The following is a 21164-nucleotide window of genomic DNA, read 5'->3' as shown; positions in this document are numbered from 1 at the left end:
TCCATTTTCCTGGGCTTTCTATTCATTTCCCACTCAAATTTTTATCTTAATTCTAATTGGTCTGAGGTGAGTTTGGAAGGAGGGTGAGTAAAGGGTGGAAGAGGACTGTGTCTCTAGCTAGCAGCAGCAGAAATGGTAGAGGAAAAAATGCATGGTGCCCTTGGCCTGTCCTACATACAATTCTTATGAAATAAATGGTAGACATGTGAATAGACTTCATTTTTCACAGCCCCCAGTTTCATTTTCTATTGTGAATATTTTTAAAGCAACAAAATCTGGCTATCCAACGTACATTTTTCTTTAAAATGTATATTTTTATAATTTACACATAGCTGGGAAAATCAGATTCTGTTTCTACTCTAATTCATTCTGTTTATGTGCATGTTCACAGGCCAGAGCTAAACATGATAACATTGCTGATAATTGCAGAATTGCAGCAACAGAGCAAGAGAAAGAGAACTGGTGGGTCTTCCCAGACCTGTGTCAGCAGGACACATCAAGAGCATTCTATGAAACCATACTAAATGGGAAAGCCCCGCCCCCACATCCATGAACAGCATACCCAGCTTCCCTGCTGCTTTGCTTGCGTGCAAAAAACCACAGATGTAGTGGTGAGGGATGGGGTTGGGGCTGGTTGAGAAAGGGGGGTGTGTTTTAGGGCTTCAGAGCAAAATGCAGAGTCCTGGGAACAGAGTGCTACAGATACAGATGGGAGGAAAAAATCTGATGCCCCTCCAGCCATTTTGGTCTTCTTCCTGAGGCAGAGCAGACAATTTGGCACAGGGGGCCTGTGTTGTTATCTTCCCATTTAGTAGGGGCTGGCCAAACTCTCATGCAACTCTGAGGTCCTAGGGATTCAGTGGTGAATAAAACAAAGTGCCTACCTTCCTGCACTTACATTTTAGTGGAAGGAGGTGGCTAATAAAGTAATTTCATCCAGTATTAAGTGTTGTGATAGCAATGGGAGTCTCACCGCTTTAGGTTGTCAGGGGAAACCTCTCTGAGGTGGCATGAGCATTGTGACCTGAAGGGTGAGGAAGAGCCAGCTGTGAGAAGATCTGGGAAGAGGGTACCAGGCAGAGGGAACAGCTAATGGGACTGAGTATGGGAGGTTCGGGGAACACCAAGAAGTCCAGGAGGCTGGCAAATGGTGAGCAAGTGGGGTGGGAATGAAGTGAAAGGAAGTGGCCTGGCTTGTAGGCCACATATGGAGTCTAAATCTTCCTGAGTGAGATGGGGAGCTATTGGGAGGATTTTGAGCAGAGGCATGGTATGCCTGATCTATTATCTTTAAAGGAAACTTCTAGTTGCTTTGTGGCAAAGTGACCACAGGTGCAAGAAGGGCAGAAGAAACCAATTTGAGGCTCCAGGCGAGGAGTAAATCTGGGCTGGCCCGAAGTGGGAGCATTGAAGGTGGTGAGATGCACACAGATGCAGGGTGTGCCATTTGTAGTATCCCTTCCCTCAGGGCTGCTGGATCCTCTTTTGGAGGAAAGCATCCCTGGGTTGCCAGGTTGCGAACTAATGTTCTCCACCTTCATCCTGTATTTACCAAAAGGGCTAACCTCAATGCATCTTTAATGGACGCAAGAGCAGGGCGTATGTGAAAGGAAGTGCAGGCACGTAAGCAGTGAAAGGTAATGGGGGGCAGGGAAGCCAGAGGGTTAATAGCACAAATGTGCCTAGAAACCATTTCTGCTTTTCTCCATTACCTCTCTGGTTTAGAAACCTCAAATTCACATACTCCTATTGGTTTTCCTTCTCTCCAAAGTCCACAGCAGTGAGGATTCCAAATAAGAAAAAGGCATCACAGGCACAGCAGTGGCCATGTCTATCTACGCACGCCTCAGTTGTGTCTTAAGTTGGCTGTTCCCCGTACTAAAATTTTCATTCAACATCATTCATTAGCACTGAAGCAAAGTCAATATGGATTGTCAGGAACCCAGTAAAGGTCTCCTTATTTTAAATTGCACCTTCGATATAGCATTATCAACATTCTACCTTTGCCTAATAAGGTGTGTGCTTACTTCAGGCTTTATACAAACATCTTCAAGTCCATCATTAAACACATACACTGGGAGGCACAATTCTAAATCTCCAGCAGTAGTTCTCAATCCAGCTTCATGTTGATCACTGCCTGTTCCAAAATTTTTTTTTTTTTTTTTTGAGACAGAGTATTGCTCTGTCACCAGGCTCTCGGCTCACTGCAACCTCCACCTCCCAGGTTCAAGTGATTCTCCTGCCACAGCCTCCTGAGTAGCTGGAACTACAGGCACGCACCACTGTGCCCAGCTAATTTTTGTATTTTTAGTAGAGATAGGATTTCACCACATTGGCCAGGATGGTCTCTATCTCTTGACCTCGTGGTCCGCCGCCTCGGCCTCCCAAAGTGCTGGGATTACAGGCATGAGCCACCACGCCCTGCCCCAAAGAGCTTTCTAGGCCCCCACCCCCAGAGAGTCCGATTCAGAAGGTCTGGGTTACATTTGGGCAATCAGTTATTTTTAATAAATCCTACAAGGTGATTGCAGTAAACTTTCAGAACTGCTGTCCTGTAGTTTCTGCAATGCCATTACCTGTTTCCTGAGTTCCCTGGACATCTCATAACCTATAAAATTTGTTAATACTAAGACGTCTCAAATGTGTTTGGGAAGGGGATATTAACATTTATTAGTAAGAATTAGCTGGAGTCCTCAGAAGCACAGGAAGGAGCTGGAGTGCAATCAACGGGTGATTAGAGGACAGAGGACACAGGACATTGGTCATGAGGGGGTGGCATGTGGACGTCGTCAGGAATTATCTATTTCCACATTTCTCAACTCTCCTTTAGGGGCATTTGAAGCCCACCCCAGACGAAGTATAACCAGCCCTTTACAGCTCAACACCCCTCCCCCACACTCCCAATCAGTTTGAGCATTTCTGGTTGACATTTACTGCATAAAAACTTATCCTTGACAGCTCTCTATATAATCTACATAGCACAAACAGAGGCCAACGAACAAATTTTTTAAAGTGAGCTCTGTACATATTCTACATGTTATAAAATGAGAAGCAGGCAAACAAATTTTTAAAAACACAGCGGTTAATAAAACATTAATTGAATCAGGACACAGCAAAGTAGCACTACAAACACTTTTTTTAATGACATCAGATGGTACATTTATACAAATTACAAGCTACAATATAGTGAATACAAAATCCATCCAGAAAACGGTTAGAAAAGCATCACTTAACAGAAGTAAATCGGATTCAAGTAGCTAAAGAACTCAAGCCCCCCATTTTGATGATTATACACGGCTTGAAATGCAGCACATCCAAATCCTCCCCCTAGTCAGGGCACTATTCAATACTACAGCATATTCAATGACTCTAGTGATGTAAAGATTCTAACACTTTTAGCATCGACGTCAAGAGACATCTCGTAACAGGTTCACTATGCAAAACTCAAATGAGAATGTGTGAACGTTCTTTGCAAACTGTAAGGTGCTGTGCAGATGTTGTTAGCTATTGCTATTATTACTGTTCAGTGAGATTACACTGAACGTGGGGAAAAGGAAGACTACTCTGTATAACTGACAAATATGACTTACAGAACATCTTAAAAGGAATGCAGATATTACTTTCAAATACACATAGCAACAACACAGGCAAGGAAAGTGTGGCCAGGAGTGATGTCGAGGAATTCCTATTTTAAGGAATATATAAAGGATTAAGCTATTCATAGATTATGTGTAATATTTATCATTAGATTCCCAAAGTCCCTGAAAATAATTTATTTTTAAGGTGACCCTTTCCCCCTGAAAAGGGAAAAAGAAATCTTGTCAGGTTACTAATGTGCTGCTTCAGCCAGCTCTTGTAAAAATTATCTTAAACATAGGAGTACAGTCTGAATTAATAGTTATACTAATCTGGTGGGTGACACAGAGTGCTTGACAGCAGAGAAACCTGCCACTGACCTCAGACAAGTGACAAATTCTGTGTCAGAGTTGAACCATAAGTTTACAACTTCACTTGGGCATAAATTAAACAATAAACATGAACTTGTCTAGAGATAAGAAATACACACTAGGTACATCTAAAATCGGATTTAAATCCTTTTTATGTACTTTCGGGTTTCATCTTTCTTTGTATATACCCTACTTGTTTAACTGATTTTAGTGGTCTCCTTGGGTATTCTAACTGTATACATAAAATTGACATGAAAATGGAAAACAAACGCCAAACAAGTCAATTGGTTGTTTCTTTTGGCAAAGCTGATGACATTTTCATGATGAAAATGTTCCAATTATTAGGCCAGGCACGGTGGCTGATACCTGTAATCCCAGCACTTTGGGAGGCGGAGGCGGGTGGATCACCTGAGGTCAGGAGTTCGAGACTAGCCTGGCTAACATGGTGAAACCCCGTCTCTACTAAAAATACAAAAATTAGCCGGGTGTGGTGGCACGCACCTGTCATCTGAGGTACTCAGGGGGCTGAGGCAGGAGAACTGCTTGAACCCGGGAGGCGGAGGTTGCAGCGAGCCGAGATTGCGCCCTTGCACTCCAGCCTGGGCAAGAAGGGCAAAACTCCGTCTCGAAAAAAAAAAAAAGAAAAAAGAAAACAAAATGTTCTAATTATTACAATGTATTTCTGTTAGATTTCCATGAAACATGGGGATTTTTAATGGCAGGTTTAAATTTTTTTTCACTAACAACCCCAAACCAAATTCTACTGTTATATGTACAATGGTATCCATTTGAAGAACTAATGACATCAGATACATTCTACAGCAGACTTTTCATTTCTCAACACAAATGAGAAAAAGGACTACATTCTCCAGGGCCAAACAGGAGGTGAGGAAGGTAATGTGTTACCGTAAATAGGGTTAAATCAGTAGTTTGGACTGACACTTCAAGTTATATCTCCTAACTGAGGTTATTCTTACAATCAGTTTTCAAACAATAGGGAACATATTTCTACCTTAAAACATGTATAAGGGCTCAACTGTAGCTTTCCTTTCTATACATCTTGAAGTATATACATTGTGTAAAAGGAAACTAGTGAGACATTTTGAAAAATAAATCTATTTGCCAAATACCATATGTTATTTAACATAGTTAAAAACAGCAGCAAACTAGTGAGTTAACAGTTAAAACTCTAGGAAAAAACTGCTTTGAAAACAAGCCTATTTTGTTATAAGCCTAAATATCAACCCTAGCATTTGATTTTAACCTTCAAACATTTGGCGCTTTTTCCAAGAGGAAATTACAACTGCCTTTGCATATGCCCCTGGTTTAAATACTTGCAGAAAAATACCCATGTATCATCACCTATTCAGCAAATGCCTGAAACCAAAACAATAATCCAACATTGGACAGTAACATTTTACAAACAGCATAAGATCCCAAAAGCACAAGAAATACCTTGGCATTATATAAAAAGAAATTAGGTGGACAATTCTAAATACAACAATACTTCTTAATTAGGGACCATCTAGAAATCTACCACATACTACCCTAGACTCAAATGTCATTATACTAAAATTGTAGTCTTTAAGCAAGAATTAAAAACAGTTCCATAATAATCATACTGATCTTTCACTTTTCTCAACAGTTAAACACAAATGCTATTTGACTTTTATGACTAATCATCCCTCTATTCCTTTAGTCCAGTTTCACAACATAAAAAATAAATGTGAACAACAAATCGGTAATGGTTTCACATACTTAAGCAAGAATCCTAGTATTAGGATTATCAGTAACAGAAAATTTGAATTTTAAGAGAATAAAGATAGAATGTGCTTATTTAGAAAATGGTCAATAAGGCCGGGCGTGGTAGCTCACGCCTGTAATCCCAGCACTTTCGGAGGCCGAGGCGGGTGGATCACCTGAGGTCACAAGTTCAAGATTAGCCTGGACAACATGGTGAAACCCCGTCTCTACAAAAAAATACAAAAAAAAATTAGCCAGGCGTGGTGGCAGGCATCCGTAGTCCCAGCTACTTGGGAGGCTGAGGTGGAGAATCACTTGAACCCAGGAGGCAGAGGTTGCAGTGAGCCGAGATTGCACCACTGCACTCCAGCCTGGGCAACAGAGCAAAACTCTGTCTCAAAAAAATAAATAAATAAAATAAAGAAAAAGAAAAAGAAAATGGCCAATAATCACTCATCTGAAAAAAATGCAAATAGCTGTCAGGAAAAGCTGGCAGAATTTGAACTTGTAAGCTAAACTTTTAGTGTGTATCAAACTAGCATTAAGGAATGGCTTTCAAAAATGAATACGGGATATCAACTAAAATAGAGGTTATTTTTAGATGGCAACATTATGGGGAATTTTGATTTTTTTTCCTGTTTGAATATGTATTTTTCCAGTTTTCTACAAAGAACATATACTATGATTTTATAATTAAAAAACAAATACTTGTGGGAGTGTTTTTAGATTGCACATAATTAGTACCAAATAACTAGAAAGAACACAGACTAAAGATACGAAAATAAAATCAAGGTTTTTTTCCATCAGATATGCCCAAGGAGAATACTTTTTGGATGAAAAAAAAATGTTTTCCAGATTGTTTCCACTCCTAACATATGCAAAAATGAACATATTTAAATGCAAATTCCTATCATATACACTACAATTTTAAAAAATAGTAAAAAAAACAATTTTAAATGGAGCTTCCTCGAACCTTTTAATTGAAGCCTAGCTTCAATGTTGAATGAGGAAGCAAAGTATCTCATTAAAAAGTTGGTCTGCAAAGCACAAAGCTGGCCTGCAAGGGGACTTGAAGGAAGCAGGCTGAGTGTTTGAGTAGTGAGATCTTTGCTTTGCTCTTTAGATCCTTCAGTAAGCTAAGGTCCTTTTACCTGAATGGATGTAATTTAGCCTAGTTTTCCCATAAAATAATGTAATGGATAATTCTTATTGACTAGGGATTACACTTCATGTGAAATTCCTCAGTGACATTCAGATTAATTCCAGTGTCCACAATTTAAGCAACTTTCCATAGGAAATTAAAATCCCAAATCCAAGGACCTGGTATTTTCATGCTAAAGAAAGCATTCCAGCGTAAAGTGGAGTTTAATTTGCTTCACTGTGTGCATCTTAATATATCCAAATGAGTAAAACTCAAAAGCAACCGTAAGTCAGAATACTATAAAACATGTTTTGTTGAAAGAAGATAAAATTCCTTCCAGAGTATTGTCTAATTAAATTAACATATTTCTTTGTAACTAACTTTTCCAAATTCTCATTTGCAAATCAGATTCATACAGTTAAAACTGAATATACAAACCAACATATTAGAAAGATCAAAATTTACATACTCAAACGTGACTCCTTAAGACTGACTTTAACATGTTCTTTCAACTTTATTCAAATCAGATGGCCCCCTCCAGCATTTATCATTTTAAAAAATGAATTTAATGCTATAAAAAGGTGATGTTCACTTTAATCCTGTTTGCCTTCACGCCACTGTCGTGAGCCTTCATTCCAGGCCACATACACAAAGAGGGCCAGCACCACATGGACGGCGACCACTGCAACAATAGCAGCGTAAAAATAGCTGTCCCTATTGGACATCCCAAGGGCGCCTATCAAGAGAAAAAAAACAGTTTCCATTTTATTGCAAAATTTACCAAAGTACAAAAAAAAAAAACAAAGCATCCTAATTTTTATGATGTATTTATTTAACTAGTCAGGCAATTAAAAAGTAATATTTTGGGTGGTAATGAATAAAGTATTCACTAAAAGATATGAGTACCTTCTATATATTAAGAACATTATGTTGGCCGGGTGCAGTGGCTCACGCCTGTAATCCCAGCACTTTGGGAGGCCAAGACGGGCAGATCACGAGGTCAGGAGATGGAAACCATCCTGGCTAGCACCGTGAAACCCCGTCTCTACTAAAAATACAAAAAAAATTAGCCAGGCGTAGTGGCAGGCGCCTGTAGTCCCAGCTACTCGGGAGGCTGAGGCAGCAGAATGGCGTGAACCTGGGAGGCAGAGCTTGACGCGAGCCGAGATCGCACCACTGCACTCCAGCCTGGGTGACTGAGCGAGACTCCGTCTCAAAAACAAACAAACAAACAAACAAACATTGTTTTAAACAAAACCATAATTATAAAGACTTCAGGCCGGGTGCGGTGGCTCACGCTTGTAATCCCAGCACTCTGGGAGGCCGAGGCGGGTGGATCACCTGAGGTCACGAGTTCGAGACCAGCCTGGCCAACATGGCGAAACCCCGTCTCTACTAAAAATACCAAAAATCAGTCGGGTGTAGTGGCGGGTGCCTGTAATCCCAGATACTCAGGAGGCTGAGACAGGAGAATCGCTTGAACATGGGAGGCGGGGGTTGCGGTGAGCCGAGATCGCGCCATTGCACTCCAGCCTGTGCAACAAGAGTGAAACTGTCTCAAAAAAAAAAAAAAAATTTCAACATCAAAAAGGGGACTTCATTCTCTCTTCCTTCCGTTATCTGACACTAAAGTCCATTCCCCCAAAATTCCTCCTCCCATGTCAGCCAACCCCTATTCTTTAAAAGGTACTAAGAGAAAGGATTTGCAAGCTATTTCACAGAAAACCATAGGAAAACTGTCAAGCTGAAACAATAAGTTATTTCATAAAGACTCATTATGAGCAATATGATTTTTTGAAAAGCTAAACAAGAAAAAAATAAGAATACCCAGTTTAAAGATATAAAGAGGTCATAAAAGCACAGAATCTTAAATTGGGGGAAAACATCTTGTTTTAATGGGTCTAAGATTACCTTCAAATATGTAAGATTTAGTTGTGAAATATAACCCAATAGGAACAGTGATCATTAAAGCTGTGAAGAACAGGAGCGTCTTCAGTGTAGATGCTAATGAGCTTTCATTTCTGGAATAAAGTAAACAAAGAGAAAATCAGAACCTGCACAGTCATATCCAAACGCTCTTATGTCCCTGAAACTATAAACATCCACAAATGAGATGCTATGCAGGAGGAAGATCACAGGCAGGGACTCGTAATCCGAAGATCCTAGAGAACCAGCTGTGGGTAGTGGGAATTTCTTGAGCTGGAACATGAAGATTATACACCACCTTTAGGGACTGTCATTCATATCCAGTGTAAGACGAAGCGTCAGGGCACCTCAGATCAACTGCCAACAAGCTGGGTGAACAAACTAAGTGAAGAAACTCAGTGCCCCTGCCTCTGGAACTGGAGCTTTTACCCAGGGAAGCCACGGCGGACAGCGGCACCAGTGCCCAACCCATGCGGCAACCGTGTCCACCAGCACCAGACACCAGAGCTGGGAACGCAGCAGGCACCATGGGTGGATCAGCGCGCCCTCTTTTGCTGGAATCAGAGCTTCCGTCACGGGAAGCGACCAGCTTGCTGTCCTCCAGCATGAGACAGTGGACCAGGGAACTAACGAGGCAGACACACCTGTGCACCCTCCCACACTGGAATCAGAGCTTTTGCCCAGGGAAGCCACTGTCACACTGGTCCCTGAGCCCACGCAGCAACCCTGACCACCAGCACCGGACACCAGACCAGGGAACTCGGCAGGCACCACAGGTGGAGCAGTGTGCCCTCTCCCGCTGGAATCGGAGCTTGCATCTGGGAAAGCTGCCAGCCTCCTGTCCTCCAGCACCAGACAGTGGACCAGCAAACTAACCAGGTGGAGCCGACGCACCAGCGTGCCCTCCCCCACTGGGATCAGAGCTTTGGCCCAGGGAAGCCACTGCCACACCAGTCCCTGAGCCCGTGCAGCAACCCTGACCACCAGCACCAGACACCAGACCACTGAAGGAGGTAGGCAGGGCGAACGGACCAGTGCGCCCTCCCCAGCTGGAATAGGAACTTCTGTTATGGGTGAAAAATCGAGCTAGAGGGAATACTTCCAAACACGTTTTAAGAGGCTCCAATCACCTTGATACCTAAGCCAGACAGACACAGCAAGAAAACTACAGGACAACATCACTGATGAACACTGGTGCAAAATTCCTCAATAACATATTTTCAAACCAAATTCAACAATAATCAGGCCAGGTGTGGTGGCTCACACCTGTAATCCCAGCACTTTGGGAGGCCGAGGCAGGCGGATCACTTGAGGCCAGGAGTTCGAGATCAGCCTGGCCAACATGGCAAAACCCAGTCTCTACTAAAAATACAAAAATTAGCTGAGAGTGGTGGCGTGTGCCTATAGTCCCAGCTACTTGGGAGGCCAAGGCACAAGAATCCCTTGATCCTGGGAGGCAGAGGTTGCAATGAGCCAAAATCACACTCCAGTCTGGGCAACAGAGCAAGACTCTGTCACAAACAAACAAAACCAATACATCAAAAAGATTATATATTATGACCAAGTAGGATCATCTCAGTTGATGCAGAAAAAGCACTTGACAAACTTCCGCATCCTTTACTGAGCTGAAAAAGAAATCAAGAAAACAATCTCATTTATAATAGCATTAAAAAAAAATACTTAGGGGCCAGGCTCAGTGGCTCATGCCTGTAATCCCAGCACTTTGGGAAGGCTGAGGCTTGAGGCCGGGAGTTTGACGCAAGCCTAGGTAACACAGCAAAACCCCACCTCTACAAAAAAAAATTTTGATAATTCGCTGGGCATGGTGGCACGTGCCTGTAATCTCAGCTACTCAAGAGGCTGAAGTGGGAGGATTGTTTGAGCCCCAGAGGTCAAGGCTGCAGTGAGCAGTGATTGGGGCACTTTACTCTGGCCTGGGTGACAGAGCAAGACTCTATTTCAAAAAAAAAGAAACTTAGGAATAAATTTAACCAAGGCGATGAGTGACTTGTACACTGAAAAGTATAAAACACTGATGAAAGAAATTGAAGATGACACAAATAAATGTAAAGATATCCTGTGTTCATGGATTGGAAGAATTAATACTGTTGAAATGTCTACAGCACCCAAAGCAACATACAGATATAACACAATCTCTATCAAAATTACAGTAGCATTCTTCATTAAAATAGAAAAACAATCCTAAAATTCATCATACAGAACCACAAAAAGCCCCAAATAGCCAAAGCAACATTGAAAAAGTTGTAAGCATCACACTTTCTGATTTAAAATATTACAGTTATAGTAATCAAAACAATATGGTATTGGCATAAAAACAGAAACATATAACAATGAAACAGAATAGAGCCCAGAAATAAATCCAAACATATATGGCCAACTAATCTTCGACAGGGGTGTTAAGAGGAACACAATGGGGAAAGGACAGTCCCTTCAATAAGTGGTACTGGGAAAACAGGATTTCTACATGCAAAGAAAAAAACTGGACTCTTACACCATAAACAAAAATCAACCCAAAATGGATAAAATAACTAAAACATAAAGATATAAAGTTTTAAGACATAAAAGAACACAGAGGGAAAGGTCCTTAACATTGGCCTCAGTAATGATTTTTTGGATATCACACCAAAAGCTCAGGCTACAAAAGAAAAAATAAAGCGGCTTGCATCAAACTAAAAAGCTTCTGTACTGCAAAGGAAACAATCAACAAAATGAAAAGGCAGCTTACAGACTAGGAAAACATATTTGCGAACCACCTATCTTGTAAGGGGTTAATACCCCAAAATTTATAAAGAACTCTTACAACTCAGCAGAAAAACCACCTGATTAAAATATGGACAACAGCTGGACAGACATTTCTCCAAAGACATAAAAATGGCCAAGAGATAAATGAAAATGTGCTCAACATCACTAAATCATCAGGGAAATGCAAATCAAAACCACTATGAGATATAACCTCACACTTCTAAGGACAGCTATTATCAAAAAGGCAAGTGATAACAAATGTTTGTAAAAGTGTGGAGAAAAAGAAACCCTACTACATTGTGACTGGAAATGTAGACTGGTACAGCCATTATGGAAAACAGTTCCTAAAGAAATTAAAAATAGAACTACCACACAGCCCAGCAATCTCTCTTCTGGAATATAAGCAAAGGAGATGAAATCACTACCTCGTAAAAATATCTGCACTTCCATGTTCATTGCAGCATTATTCACAATAGCCAAGATTTGAAAACAACCTACGTGTATGTAGACAGACAAAATAAAGAAACCGTAGTGTATATATACAAGGGAATATTTTATTCAGCCTTAAAAGAGGACATCTGCCATTTGCCACAACATGGATGGACCTGGAAGACATGTTAAGTAAAATAAGCCAAACGCAGAAAGACGAATACTACATGAGCTCACTTATATGTGGAATCTTTAAAAAAAAAAAAAAAAGGTCAACGGTCAACTACACAGGGACAGAGAATAAAACAGTAGTTACCATGGCGGTGGGGGTGGGAGGCTGGAGGGGAGGAAATAGGAAGATATACATCAAAGGACACAAAGCAGTAGATATATGGATTAACAAGTGAGATATCTAATGTACAAGAGGACTATAGGCAATAAAGTTGCATGGTATTAGGGACTTTTGTAAATAAGATTTTAGCTGCCTCTGGTCACACACACACAAAAGTATGTGAGATGACAGATATATTAATCTGCTTCACCATAGTAATCATTTTACTATATGTATGCCATAACATCATGTTATGAACCTCAAATATACACAATGAAATTTATTTAAAAAGAACCTGAACAAAAAACCCACAAAAACATTGAGTAAAATATATATTAAATATAACTAACCTCATGCCTATTTCTTGATCACATGCTCTGCACATGTGTGAGAAATTAAATGCTTACTGCTGTAAAAAAAAAAGTTCTAATATTTTCTTTTGGTACTTAAATGGATCATCTTTTAGCAGGCCTCATTTTGGTTATTACTGAGCTATACAACTCTCATTTAATATACATAAGCTCCCTTAAACTGTTTCCTACTAGTAAATTTTTAGAGAAATTTATTGTGTAATCCTCATGAAGAGTATGAGTGTCTGCAGTGGAGAATCTACAAAAAATACAAAGAGTCACTAATTGGCCAATTCTTTTGTGCACCCTAAAAAAAGCACTTGACTTTGGTGTTTCTATGGTGAGTAAAAAAGTATGTTTTAGGAATGCAACTTTCAGATTATCTAACTTGTTAAAGGAACAGAAAGGAAGTGTTAACTGATTGTTTTGTTCTTTACATGACCTCTCTTGAGTATCTATTATCTGGTCTGGCTTTTAAAAAGTTTATTATTGAAAAGATGATATAACACCATAAAAATGTTTTAAAGTAAACAAAATCACCTATAATCCCACCACCCAAATATAACCTTTCTACATATTAATTTCTAGCCCCCACACAATCTATACACAGCATACCTTAATAATTTATGGCTAATTCCTTCTCACTTCTCTCTTTACCTCAAACTTCAAAAATGTGACTACTTTTCTGTGTTGTGACCTCACTAATATGGGACTAAGCATTAAGTCAAAGTGTACATACAAACTTTTGAAAACTAGCAAACTTCCTCTACTGTTTATAGGACATTTTCTCCCTGGATTCCAGCCACAAGAGCTGTTGGTTTTGCTGATGCAAGCCACCTTGGGTAAAATCAGTGGCTTATCCAAGACAAAGCAACTGATGCTATTCAATTGATTTATCCTATGTATCTTTGGGTGTTACTGAGCAGAGATTTGTTAGAAGTGAGGAATGAGAAAGGCTGGAATTAAAGTTGTCCTCACACAAAGGAAAAAGTTCAGGATGAACCTTAATCTGCCTCCATTTATAACACCACCTAGTTTTCCCACTTCATACAAACTTCTGCAGCCAACATTGAGCAGACAGAGCCTACCACATTCCCTTTTGTAGCAAGTAAGACAACAGGAATTCTTTCTCCCACAGTCAAGATTTCACTGCAAATTCCATTAGGAAACCAGAATCAGTCTAGAAGGACTATGCTGTAAGTGTATCTAATAAAAATATGTTGGTATTCTCATAAATGAATAATTAAAAAAAAACCCACATTGAGGCTGGATAAAGAAAATGCGGTACATATACACCATGGAACACTATGCAGCCATAAAAAAGAATGAGATCATGTCCTTTGCAGCAACATGACTGGAGCTGGAAGCCATTATTCTAAGCAAATTAAGACAGGAAAAGAAAACCAAATACTGCACGTTCTCATAAGTGGGAACTAAACAACAAGAACAGATGGACACTAGGAGAGGAACAACAGACAGTGCGGTCTACTTGAGGGTGGAGGCTGGGAGGAGGGAGAGAATCAGAAAAAACGCCTATCGGGTACTATGCTTATTACCTGGGTGACAAAATTACCTGTACGCCAAGCCCCCGTGACATGCAGTTTACCTATATAACAAACCTGCGCATGTACTCATGAACCTAAAATAAAAGTTAAAAAAAAAAAAAAAAAACTCACAATGACCCTGTCGGAAAGAGAAGGCATCACAGAGCTCCAAAGATCGTGGGCTTTGGAGTCAGTGAGCTTGGTCAAACGTTAGCTTCAATTACATACTAACTTTGTCGCCTAATTCTGTAATCACTCACCCTCAGTTTCAAGTCACTTACCCTCAACTGCATCCTCTTCAAAATTGGGAAATCAAGCAGTTAGAGAAATTAAGAATTCTGACAATGTATGTAAAGCACGTGCACTGAGCCTGGCATACAGTAGGTCTTAACGAATGATAGCTAACTCCCTCACCACTCCCTTGCCTACTGGGGTGGGCCAGAACCACCTGCTCTCTCATACATTCCTTCAACTCAGTCACCAGCCTCTATCTTACTGATTCCCCAAGTGAAGCAATCTCACACCAGGGGACTATTCCCTTCTACTCCTTCATTCATACAGCAAACATTTATTAAGCCCCGACTATGCAGGCCCCCTAGGGAACACGGAGATGAAGGAGACTGCATTCCTGTCCTCAGAAGGCTGACCCTGCGGTAATGAAAGAGACTGCAATATAGACACAGCGAGAGAAAGTGCTAGGATAGGAGCATGAGCTGAAGGCCCACTGACCTATTCCCCATGACCCCGGATCCCTTGTTCCCGAGCGAAAGTTCGGGGCCGGGAGTTTAGACGTCTCAGGCTCCAACCTGCTTTCCCCGCCCCCTTCCCTGAGGCCAGGTCCCCGGGGTCCAGACCTCACGCCCACCCATTCAGCTAGGGCCTTCCCTCAAGCCCTGCTCCAGGCTGGGGCCAGTCCGCCTCGCGGTCCAGGCCCCGCTCAGGGCTACCTGAACTCAGGAGGCTGCAGTGCGTTCAGCGCCGCCTTATCCGGGCGCTCCATGGTGTAGCCGTGCCGGCACAGGCGCTCGGCGGCGGAGCTGGGCTCGGCGGCCGCGCTCAGTAAGCTCCGCGAGGGAACGGCCGAGGCGGTTCGCACCGGAAGTAGCGGTTCGCGCCGGAAGTGCCCGTTCGCGCCGGAAGTGCCCGTTCGCGCCGGGCGGCGGGCCACAGTACGCAGGCGCGGCGCGGCGCGGCGCGCCGCAGCGACGCAGGGCTGTTGCCGGCGCGGGGGCGGGCGCTCACATGACTTACCGGCGGTGGCTCCGCGGCGTGCGCCCTGCCAGGAGGGGCCTGTGCTCGAGGAGCAGGCCTGGCGAGTAGCCCAGCCACTCCACGTTGAGCCGGGACTTGCCGCGCAACATGGTCCTCCTGGGCGGGCGGCGGCTACGCCGCCCCCTGAACTCGCGTGAACACTGGTCCTCGTCTGCGTCTCGGTCGCTGAGCTGGGGGCCGCAAGGAGACCCGAGCATATGAGCCGCGAAGAGGGACTACCAGCCAGAGGGCTGTGGTGCTAGGCAACTGAGCGTATTCCGCCGACGACAACACAAAAAAGCAGTGCGCATTATTTCGCCACTACTTGAGCAAATAAATGCCTCATTAATTACTGCCCGCAGTGGTAGGAAGTCAAGCCCTTGGCAGCTGGGAGGAGTTAAAACACTCACCCGAGTCCGTAAAACTAGAGAATGTCAGAGTTCAAAGAGCTCTTGCTGAGAATGACTGTTCCAGACTCGATGCCAGTGACCCCCAACTTCCACTTAAAAGTTAAAAACATATTTTGCAGCTGCTCAGAAAGCCGCCAATGAGACAACAGGGACTCAAATAGTAAGAACAGATGGGCCTCCCGGGCCTGCGCAACCCGAGAGAGGTAAAAACGAAAGGGTGGGTAAGTCTGGAGTCAGGCTTGACAAAATTAAGTTGCCACTGGCTGCTAATAAGAGGACAGCCCTTAACATGGTCAGCGCCTGGAAAGGGCCGCTGACCACACAGCTATTTTCTGCACCACATGGATACAAAGACCACATCTGAAATCATGACTAAACCAGCAGCTTAGAGTGGTGGAAAGGGCAATGGACTGGGCAGCAGGAAGTCCAGGTTTTAGTTCAAACTGAATAATCCCCCTCTAGGGCTGACTGTGCTGGCTCACGCCTGTAATCTCAACACTTTGGGAAGCTGAGGCAGGAGGATTGCGTGAGGCCAGTAGTTCCAGAGCAGCTTGGGCAGCATAGCAAGACTCCGTCTCTAAAAAACAAACTGTAAAATATTTAATAAAAATAATAGTAATCTCTATCTGGGCCTCATCTAGACCTTTAGGTGAGTAAGAACCACCTAATGTAAGAACTTGGGGTACAAAGAGAATCTAGCTCTGGGGTAGGCAAACTGAGCCAGCCGACCTAATACATGGAGCCTACCACCTGTTTTTCTACAGCCCTGAGGTAAGAATGGTTTTTCCTTTTTAAATTGTTGAAAACGTCAAAAGAATAACATGACACGTGAAATTTATATGAAATTCAAATTTCAGCGTCTATTGATAAAATTTTATTGGAGCTCAGCCATTCTCATTTGTTTGTATTATCTACAACAGCAATGTTGAGTAGTTGTGACAGAGACGGTATGATCTGCAACGCCCAAAATGATCTGCAATGCCCAAAATTCTTACCATCTGACCCTTTTACAGAAGAGTTTGCTGACCCCTGCTCTAGCTAATCAGCCTGCAGTGAGGTCCTTCAATCCCTAGGGACCCATAAATGTAGTAATGGTGGTTCTGAAGGCAGTTTTTAATATTTTTAAAAACCTAATGAATCTATTTACTGTTAGGCATCCAAAGCTACTTAAAATATCACCGTTCTTTGATTTTTGACACTTACTATATCATGATGAGGTTATCCTAGTTATCCCATAAGAAAAGACTGTTCACAGATTATTATGAAAATAAGCCACAGTATACTTAATAGAATAAATCTTTTAAAACATAGAATGAACACAAGTGGGGGAACGGAATTGTGACTTATTGTTCCCCAATACCTAGAGTAGGGCCTGGTATATAGTAGGAACTAATAAATATTTGTTAAATAAATAAATTGGGTCCACAAAAGGAAAAAGAGCAAAATAGTTCTTGATGGTGAAAAAATTGGGAACCAGCTTGGCGTGGTGGCACATGCCTGTAATCCCAGCTACTCAGGAGGCTGAGGCAGAAAATCGCTTGAACTCAGGAGGCGGAGGTTGCAGTGAGCCAAGATCGTGCCACTGCACTGCACTCCAGCCTGGGTGACAGAGTAAGACTCTGTCCACCCCCCCCCAAAAAAACTGGGAACCACTGTTGTTGTAGTTTGCCGGAGCTGCCATAACAAATGCCACAAACTAAGTGGCTCCAACAACAGAAGTTAATCATCTCCCAGTTCAGGAGGTTAGAAGTCTGAGATGGAGATGTTGGCGAGGCTGGTTCCTTCTGAAGGTTGTGAAGGAAGGACTGTTCCAGGCCCCTCTTCTGTTTTCTGGTGGTTTGCTGACAATCTTTGGCATTTCTTGGCTTGTAGAAGCATCACCCTGATCTCTGCATTTTTCTTCAAACGGCCTTCTCCCTGCGTCTGTGTTTCTGTCCAAATTTTCCCTTTTTATAAGGACACCAGTCATAATGCATTAGGGGCCCACCCTACACCTGTATGAACTTAATTATTTACATCTGCAGCGACGCTGTTTCACTCTGGGGTACTGGGGGCTAGGATTTCAGCATATGAATTTGGGGATGGTGTGGGTGACCGGGCCAGCAATTCAACCCATAACAGTAGTCTAAACACTTCCTTGTACAGATGAGAAAACTGCGGCCCAGAGAGGGGACGGGACTTGTGGGAAGTCACACATTTATCTAGTGGGATGTAGCTTGACTCCTGACTCCCAGGCTGGCACTTTTACACTCCCACATTAACAGCCTAAGTTGCACTTGTGTGATAACTTAAACAGGAACCATTCATAAATGAGATTTGCTGTGGGAAAAACTTCTCATGTAATTTACATAGTAGTGTTTTTAAATATAAACAAAAGCTCTCATATCTCTTATTTATTTATTTATTTATTTATTTATTTATTTATTTATTTATTTCGAGACAGAGTCTCGCTCTTTCGCCCAGGCTGGAATGCAGTGGCGCGATCTCCGCTCACTGCAAGCTCTGCCTCCCGGGTTCACGCCATTCTCCTGCCTCAGCCTCCCGAGTAGCTGGGACTACAGGCGCCTGCCACCACGCCCGGCTAATTTTTTGTATTTTTTTTAATAGAGACGGGGGTTTCACCGTGTTAGCCAGGATGGTCTCGATCTCCTGACCTCGTGATCCGCCCGCCTCGGCCTCCCAAAGTGCTGGGATTACAGGCGTGAGCCACCACGCCCTGCCATATCTCTTTTTTATGCTGACTTATACACTCTACCAACATTTACTGTGAGCTTACTGAGGTAGACACAGAACTTTAAAAATAAACTCAGAATCTGTACTAGAAGGAAAGAATCTAGCCAGCAGTCAGCCCTCTCAACAGAGCCCTGAAACCTCCTACCTGCAGTGCTACAAAAGAATTAGAGGCAAGTGGAGCCCACACAGAGCCGTTGCCATGGGAATGAAATGGTGTGTTAGGGGGTGTGGCCACTACAGAGGAAACCATAATAGTGGTTTCCTACCACTGCTGCCCTAAAGCATGTGTCTTGTGCTTCATTTTACTGAGCATATTCACAGTCCCTACAATTTATACCATCCCCACTTCATAAGTGGAAAAACTGAGGCCAGGGAAAATTTCAGAGTCTGGTGAAGGCTTCCCAATGCCCCTTAAAGTCAGAAACTGATTCTCAAACTGAAAGAGCCCCAGTTTGGCACTTTAATTTTAGTTGAGAAAACTGACAGCTAAAGATGGGAAGTGATTTGCCCCAAATTCCCTAGGTCAGTGATAGAATTAGAGAATGTATAGTTCCTAATTCTGTCTCATGTTTTCTCCACCATATTGTTGTAAACTTCTGTACTACTTGTAAGACACGTTTTCTCCACCATATTGTTATAAACTTCTGTACTATTAACCCAGTGACGTGAAAAGTATACACCCAAAGACACGTTTTGCAACCCCAAATTGCTTTACTTACCCGAAAAAACTTCGTTTCTTGAAGTTTCCTTTTGGGTGGCTGGCTGTGGGATTGGATGGAACAACCATATTGAAACACCAACTGATACTTGCCAAGGCCTATACCTGAACAGCACGGTGTTTTTAAAACTAAGACATAAGGAAAATAGAAATAAGCTCCACTGTACAATCAACAAAACTCATATTAAAAAAGAGAGAGAGAAACTCTGGCTTCTTTGTAATGTAGGCTGTGATGTCTTAAAAAAAAAAATTGGTAAAATATGCCCCCTGGTGAAAAAGCATAGTTCCATTTATAGAAAAAAAAATAACTAAGGGGTTATTATAGTTAAAACCTCCATTGTCAACGCTGCCCTTCGCCCCAGGCAATGAATTGGGTTTTACTCAAGGGTCTTCCTTACCTCACATCAACCTCTGGCCAGCACTGCTGCCCTAAAGCATGTGTCTTGTGCTTCATTTTAAATAGCATATTCACAATCCCTACAATTTATACCATCCCCATTTCATTTCCAGGTAGAAATAGTGAAACTAAGGGAAATTTCAGTCTGGTGAGGACCTCACAATGCCCCTTGCCTCCTGACTCTTGAATGCCCTAAAATTTACATCAGGCTACCTCTTCCAGCTCTATCTGCCAGATAGCTAAGCTGGGATCTCTGAGCTGGTGAAGGGACTTGCCCATGGAGTCAAGGAATGCTCAGGGTTCATGCCTCAGGACTGTTCTCACCAACTTGACTCACCTTTGGGGCTCTAGTGGAGCCCGTGGGCCTTCCGGCAAACAGAAGTAGGCAATGGGGGTCAGGAAATGGCCCCCACTGCCTGTCCAGCGTGGTGCCAGCTCAGCCTAGGATCCCATGTCCCCTGGCACACCAGTGGTTTGATATAACCAGAGGATCTCCTGCCCATGAGGGGCGGCAGCGCTCCAGTTACCAACCCCCAAGTGAAAGATCCTGGATCAAGTCTTTCCTGATTGGCCTGCACCCAGAGGCTACGCTACCAGAAGAGGAACTGGACAAGGGCACACCCCAAGATATACACGCGTTTTTTCCTTGAAAGGCCCAGGCTTTGAGGAGGCGATCGCAACCAGTGGGCTGAATAAAAGAGCAAGTGTCGGCACGGAGAGAGCTAGGCCCGGGCTCACCAAGACATAGAGCCCGAGGGTTCTGAAAACACTGTTCACGGTGGAGCACGAGGCTCGAGCGCCAGAGACCTCGGAGTTGGGTTTCCACGTGGTTATTCCCAGCGCCAAGTGGGCGGGGCAGGGGAGGGCGGGGCAAGGCCTCCTCCCAGCTTGGGCCACTCTGATTGGTCCGCAGCAGCATGTCTTTCCTGGCGAGTCTGGGCAGGCCAAGCAGCCCCGCCCACCCGCAGCCCAACGCAAAGGGGCGGGACCTAGAGCTGGCTGCAGACTGAGCGCCTTGCACCCAGCAGGTGTCGGGGTGAAATCAGAGTGTCTAGCCCCTCATCCCGTGGAGGCTGGCACCCTCGGCCTGAGCTGCACTCATTGAGTAAACAAATACATAATTGGTGAATGCGTGAGTGGGTGAGAGAAATCGAAGGGAAAACCCAAAATTCTTCCAGGATTTCAATGAGAAATAGCTATAGATTTTGTTTTGGTTGTTTTCGCTGTTCTCGGTTCTTACTTTTTCCATAATTGGGTGGAAAAAGTTAGAAACACTCGAGAGAGGAAGAAACTGCAAGAGGCAAATGAAACCCAGGAGAAGCAAGGCAAGGAGGAGCTGGTGATTCGAGAATGTGTAATAAAAAGACGTAAAAGATGAATAAAGTGCTCCAGGCCCGGGCATGCCTGGCCCTTGGCTTCTTGGCTGAGTGGTCCCAGGCTGCACCTCTAGCTCCTGTCCTGGGAAGAAGAAATCGCCTTAC

General features: G+C 43.1%; 1 protein-coding gene across 2 annotated transcripts, besides 3 other annotated features; it reads right to left on the bottom strand.

Moving 5' to 3' along the window:
• Positions 3119-15888, bottom strand: VMA21 (vacuolar ATPase assembly factor VMA21). Of its 2 annotated transcripts, none has more exons than NM_001363810.1 (3): positions 15426-15888; positions 8743-8852; positions 3119-7567 (listed from the first exon to the last, which is right to left on the bottom strand). In NM_001363810.1, the coding sequence occupies exons 1-3, from the start codon at positions 15641-15643 to the stop codon at positions 7425-7427; spliced, it is 471 nt and encodes a 156-aa protein (NP_001350739.1). In that variant the 5' UTR covers positions 15644-15888; the 3' UTR covers positions 3119-7424. The 2 variants fall into 2 exon arrangements, with proteins under 2 accessions (NP_001350739.1, NP_001017980.1); NM_001017980.4 differs by lacking the exon at positions 15426-15888 and adding an exon at positions 15122-15277.
• Positions 14727-14786: an enhancer, noted in NCBI's record as "active region_30027". NCBI's record gives its function as "activates an Ori minimal core promoter by ATAC-STARR-seq in GM12878 lymphoblastoid cells {active_cell/tissue: GM12878}" and the evidence as "EXISTENCE:reporter gene assay evidence [ECO:0000049][PMID:35858748]".
• Positions 14847-14996: an enhancer, noted in NCBI's record as "active region_30026". NCBI's record gives its function as "activates an Ori minimal core promoter by ATAC-STARR-seq in GM12878 lymphoblastoid cells {active_cell/tissue: GM12878}" and the evidence as "EXISTENCE:reporter gene assay evidence [ECO:0000049][PMID:35858748]".
• Positions 15277-15436: a silencer, noted in NCBI's record as "silent region_21056". NCBI's record gives its function as "represses an Ori minimal core promoter by ATAC-STARR-seq in GM12878 lymphoblastoid cells {active_cell/tissue: GM12878}" and the evidence as "EXISTENCE:reporter gene assay evidence [ECO:0000049][PMID:35858748]".

The sequence above is a fragment of the Homo sapiens genome, chromosome X (genome assembly GCF_000001405.40).
Source record: "Homo sapiens chromosome X, GRCh38.p14 Primary Assembly".
Taxonomy (NCBI): Eukaryota; Metazoa; Chordata; class Mammalia; order Primates; family Hominidae; genus Homo; species Homo sapiens.
The sequence above is the reverse complement of the archived record's forward strand: the minus strand, read 5'-3'. Positions and strand labels throughout refer to the sequence as shown.

Excerpts from the sequence above, each read along its gene's own strand:
- VMA21 (NM_001363810.1), bottom strand. The coding sequence starts at position 15,643 with ATGCTCGGGTCTCCTTGCGGCCCCCAGCTCAGCGACCGAGACGCAGAC. Across the intron at positions 8,853-15,425 it reads ACGCCGCGGAGCCACCGCCG|AAATGAAAGCTCATTAGCAT; the intron begins GTAAGTCATGTG and ends ACTTTATTCCAG. Across the intron at positions 7,568-8,742 it reads TAAATCTTACATATTTGAAG|GCGCCCTTGGGATGTCCAAT; the intron begins GTAATCTTAGAC and ends TTCTCTTGATAG.